This window comes from Homo sapiens, chromosome 2 (assembly GCF_000001405.40).
Source record: "Homo sapiens chromosome 2, GRCh38.p14 Primary Assembly".
Taxonomy (NCBI): Eukaryota; Metazoa; Chordata; class Mammalia; order Primates; family Hominidae; genus Homo; species Homo sapiens.
In genome coordinates, this window is record NC_000002.12 from 205,847,775 (window position 1) to 205,853,795 (window position 6,021).

Consider the following 6,021-nt stretch of genomic DNA (forward strand, 5'->3'; position numbering starts at 1 on the left):
CTCTTTTTACTTCAGTTTCTTCATCTATACAATGAAAGATAGTAAAAGATTATTTCCAAGTTTTCACTTCATGATAAGATTCTATGATTCAATTTAAGCCAAACTGGTGGTCAAACAAGAGAAAGCCCATAAAATTCATTCCTACAACCTAACTTCCAAGTACCAGTCTGTGCCAGTTTTGCAGCCTTCTGTAAATAGTAAGAGGCCGGGCTCAGTGGCTCATGCCTACAACCCCAGCACTTTGGGAGGCCGAGGCGGGAGGATTACCTGAGGTCAGGAGTTCAAGACCAGCCTCGCCAACATGGTGAAACCCCGCCTCTACTAAAAATACAAAAATTAGCTGTGCGTGGTGGCAGGCATCTGTAATCCCAGCTACTCAGGAGGCTGAGCCATGAGAATCACTTGAACCTGGAAGGCGGAGCTTGCAGTGAGCCCAGATTGTGCCACTGTACTCCAGCCTGGGTGACAGCGGGAGATTCCATCTCAAAAAAAAAAAAAAAAAAATTAGTAAGATGATCATTGTGGGTTGACTCTGTACGAAAAACATAAAGATGGCAACAAAGGTGAGTGCTCAGATTTCCCCCCAGCCTACCTGGAAACTCACCCCAAAACCAACCTGATTCAGGGGAAAAAGTGGTTTGCTTTTATCTAAAGGAATTCTGCACAGATAAAACCAGGCTGCCCACAGAATTTCCATCACACCAAATTCGCAGTTTCTACATAATTGGATTTCTCTTCCTCACTGTCATCACCATTACTTCTGGAAGGAAGAGTGGAGAGAATGGCACATAGAGTCTATTGTGCTTTTACAAAGATTCAATAAACAAATGCCAAAGTTGGAAAAAGATGATGCTGTGGTTGGTTATTATCTTCCAGCTAATGATACAGTTGAATAAACGCAGCGATGTTGCAGAAAGGGAGCAGATTCAAGGCTCTGCCTTTCCATTAAGTTATGATGATTTCCCAAGACATCCAGGGTGGAGCAGAAATGTGGTTGATAAAATGCATGGCGTGGATTGAACAGCAAGAAGAAAGCAACTGACTGCAGCTGTCTGTGTGATTTGGCAACCCACAACTACTCAGACAAATCTAAACAAATCACCATCCCTGGCTTCCTGATGCCTCCAGGAAAGTCCTGTAATGACTGCTCTGCGCTGCCCTTCTAGGCAGGGGTGAGGAAAATATGCAGATTCCACAAGTTTAGGGCTTTCCTGGGGCATGTGTTCAATGCAGCAGCTGCCACCCTTCCACAGATTTGGCTGCTTTCTGCAAAATCCAAGTTTACATTAACTAATCATACATTTGCAACCCTTCCCACTGTGCCCACAGCTAGCATGATGGGCACCAAAGCCCTGTTTCCCTCATAGCCCAACCATATGAAAACACCCAACAGGTAGCCCAAGACAAGAGAAGCTGTGTTTTGTCCTCTGCCCACCTAGCCACGCCTTCCTAGCTCCTTCCAAGGCTTAAGTGGGAAGTATTCAAAACTGGTCCATGCACATGACCATCGCTTGGGGGTACATCTCCAGGCCTGAGTTCTGGCAGCTTCCCTCCCCCAGCTTTCCTGCAGCTGCCAGAATAGCTGCAGCTCTGCTGAGCAGCCACAGTCATCCAGTTAGACACGTTTTGCCGGGGGTAAGGGATGGATCTGCCCTTGCCAGCCTAGAACACGACTGGAATGGATGGGTGGGAGAGAAATCCTGCCATTGAAGCCCCTTCCCCTCAAAAGAAAAACAAATGGAGGATATCTGGGGAAAAGCTTTTTTTTTTTTTTTTTTTTTTTGCCCAGCGGTACTTCAGAGAGCAGCTCTGGAGAAGTTCATGACAAGAAAGTGTGATTGGCCACTGGCAGAGACTGCTGGGTCCCTGCAGAGAGAAATGTGGCCCCGTTGGGATGCCTCAGCTTAGGAACACAGAGAAGGGGGAGAGTGCAGGCAAACCCTGTCCCTGAAAGCCAGCACAAGGGTGGCATGCTCACCCCACTCAGCAATCTTGGGAAAGAGCAGTGAGAGGGGTCTGAATGGCAGCCCAGGTGGCCTGGACAGCAGAACAAGAGGGTTCCCCCTGGAAGTCAGCTCCCCTTGGGGCAATAGAGAGGGAGAGAGGAAAGGAGAGGGGAGAGGGAGAGAAAGAACAGTGCTTCTCTATATGGTGATTATAAGTCAACGTAATCACAGAAGAAACACCTGAGCACCTAGTTCGTTGCCATGTACACAGCAGGTGCTCAATAAAAATTTGCTGGTGATGGTGTTAGATGTGACTTTCTAGACAAAACCTGCTTTACTGTAAGTGAAATAAATATCTGTTGGATTGAAATGAATTGAAATAGGCAGCGGGTTAGCGGTGTAATTTGAAGAGCAATGGAAAATTTGGTCCCTTGCCTCAAATCTCTCTCCTACTGTAACTGCCAGAGTGCTGGAAATTTCCAGATTCCTCTTTTGGGTTAATGGGGTAATGAAAACCTTGTTGAAAAGCAAATGTTTTCTGGGAGGGATAACCAATGAAGCAACTATGATCTCTCAGTCATCCAGGATTGCAAATGGAATTCAACTCAACGGCCAGCCCTGATAGATTCACCGGAGCCGCCTGGAGTTCTGTCCTAAAGACCCTGAGGCCACAGCTGGCTCAGCAGAAAGCAGTACTGTGGGGAATACTGATATCTGCCACGGATGTGGAAAGGGGCTGGATGCTAGGGGTGCCATGTATTTGCCATCCCTGCCTCTTAGCCTGAATTATTCGAATATATTATCCCCAACAAAGAGCAGGCCCCTAAGGAAATGTAAGCTGGGACGGACATTCTGGAGGGATAAAGATGGTGAAAATTTTGCCTGAAAAGCAGGCCAGGGAATATGGCGCTGATGTGCAGTAGAAGGATACAAGAAGCCCCTGTGAGTTTGGTGGTAGGGGGCTGGGGAATGCCTACAGGAAGTCTACCTTCACCTTTTTCCATCTTGCCATGAGTGAGCGCTAACCACAGACTCTCCAGTCAAGAGGGTAACCGTAGCTCTCATCCTCCCACCACAGGAATTTGTCTGGCTCTTGTCAAACTTTGCCATCACATTCCCCAACAGCAGAGAAGAGTGAATGGACCACTCTATGGGAACAGAGGGATAATGCCAGCAGCCTACCCTGAGCAAAATGTGTCTTTGAAACCTCCGTTTTAACTTGAGAATTCATGTAAAGTTTGCATTCTATCATTAATTATTTGCTTTCACGTAGAAATATTTAAGTTACTTATAAGTCCTACTAGAGTAGCGCCGTCTGCTATGATAGATCAAGCTCAAAAGCTCAATAGTGATACTTTAGACATTTATTTTTCACAACATAAAGTCCAGGTGAGTGTGGCTGGTCCATGGATAGCCTGGCCCCTTGGTCTTCTGACTCCACCCTCTTTCAGGGACTGTACGTCCTTCCCATTCAACTAGCAGATGAGGAAAGGCCAGTTAAGATGGTCTCTTAATTACTTAAGCCCAGAATTGACAGCCATTCTCCCAACATTCCATGAGAAAGAATTTGTCACAGGGCTCCACTTAAACGCAAGGGTAGCTGAAAATATAGTCCCTGACTACCTAGCAACACTCCGGGTAACTGTTAATGTTTTAACTTCTCCATCTTCCCAAATCTATGGGACAAGTTAATCTTTAGAAGATGTGCTGAGTTTCATCCCACATCTTTACTCAACTGGAGCACGTTGCCACATATTCCCAGAAGGGCATCTACTCTCGTTTAAGAAACCACATAGGTAGTCCATTTTCAATAAGACCTAATTTCCACTTGTAGCCTCAGTGAAAGCCAATTTTAGTGGACTACTCCATTTTACCTCCTCTTCTCTCTGCTCCCTCTTTCCCTTCCTCTCAAGCCAGTTAGATACCATCAGGATTTTTAAAGTAGGCCCAAAGCCATGTTGAATATTGCCAGGAAATGGCTGGCTGGCTGTCCACCAAGAGACATTCAAAAGTGGCATTATCTTAATGAATTTTTCACGGTCCAAGGTCTGGACAGAAGACTTACAGGTCCAAAAATTCAATCTTCTTAGTGTGCCAGGATTTGCCTAACTTAGGAGGGCTGACTTGTGCGAACTAAAATCACAAAACTCCAAAACTACTCACCAAAGTGGCAATACCTCTTGACAAGAAGGTGTGTGACTGTCAAGGAGATCAAATATTGAAATTATTGTCTTCACCATTTTTTTCTCCCTGAAGAAAATCTACTAAGGAGGTCAAATTACAATAAAAAAGCTCCTAGGTGAGTCTGGAATCAGAGCATGAGTTATTTAGTTAGAGGAGTTGGAAGCTTAATGTCACCAGGCTACTAGGGCCTGATGAAGCCATCAGTGCTGGAACAGTCATGTCATGGGCTTCCTTTGGTCTGTCCTGTCTTAATTCTGTGCTCACCAGCTTTCTCTCTGATTGACACATCCTTTAGACACACCGATGCCATCCATCAGTAGAGTTACTGCCAGATCTGTACTCTGCTTTCTTCTGACATGGTGGACATTTTATCTCTAAGGTACACTTGTGTATGGCTGGCATCATCCACTGTGTTAAATTTTTAATCAAGCTCGCAAAGCTAGGAAGAAGAACAGAAGAGAAAGGGCAGGGGACTTACTCTCATCTCTGTCTACACCAATTGATGTTATTGTAGAATGAAATGTAAGAGCTTATTTGGAGGTCTCAGTAGAAAAGATTGGATATTTATAGATCCTTGACTGAAAAAATATTTCTCTCCCCTCTTTCTCTCCTCTTTTTCTAGGGCCACAGCCGACCCAGCAAGATGCCTGCAGTTCTCTCATTCAAGGTTGTAACCCAGAGCTGCTGGCAGCAAGTACACACTGAGGGATGAATCCCAGTCAAAGCCAAGAAGGGTTGCCAAGTTCAATGCCAGGGAAGGGTATCAAGTTTCAGTTGTACTGGGTGAGAAGTAGACGGTGCATAGATCAGGGAAAGGTCACTGGCCATGGTGCAAGAAGCAGGACTGGAAGCCAACAGCAAAGAGGGTTCAAGTGAAATAGAACAGGGTGGAAGCTCGAAAAAAACAAGGGTACCAGGAAGCTCTTTCTTGTTGGTTATTGACTAGTTGAAAGCACAATACTGAGTTGGGCACTGAGCTATCTGGGAAAGTAACCTTCTTTAATTGAGTTTGCAACATCAACAGCTATTTCATGGGATAGTGAAGAAAGGGACTCAAGCCTAGAGAACCATGAAGGACAGGCCACAGCCAGATGGCCCTCACATCCAAACCAGTTACATTAAAGTAAGAGACCTGCTTTGCAGTTTTAGCTCTGACAATTATGGGAAGCTTGACTTCCTCAACTCACTTTACCTCTCTGACCCTTAGTTTTCTCCTCTGTTAAATGAGGCAATTGAAATCAGTGTTTTGCAAAGCCCTCCTGATGTATAACACTGTGTCTACAAAGATAAAGCACTCCCCTAACCACACATCTATTCACATCCTGCACTGAAAAGATCAACCTTCTAGAAAAGAATTTGGAGTAGTGTTTTTTTAACCTACACTTACACAAAAGTGGGCAAAATAGCCCGGTAACCAGCTCCCAGATTAAGAAACAGGACTCTTACTAGGATCTCAATAGCTTCCCTATTTCCTTTCCCTGTCACTACCTTCCTGCAAAAGTAACCACCATTCTAATTTAAAACAGGGTGACAGATTAGTTTTGTCTGTTTTAGAACTTTATGTAAATTGAATCACACAGTACGTACTCTTTTGTGTCAAGCTTTTTAAATTCAATTATTTGTCTGTGAGACTCACCCATGTTGCTGCATGTAGCTGGGGTTGGTTATTTCCTTGTTGCTTTATAGTGTTCCATTATGCCACAGATTTATTTATCCATCTTATTGCCCACAGACTTTTGAATTGTTTTCTATTTTGGCATTATGAAGAATGTTGCTATGGAAATTTTTATACATGTCTTTGGGCACATATTCGTAGGCATTTATGTATTAGTTATCTATTGCTGTGAAGCCAGTTGCTGCAACAAACTTAAAACAGTACATATTTATTATC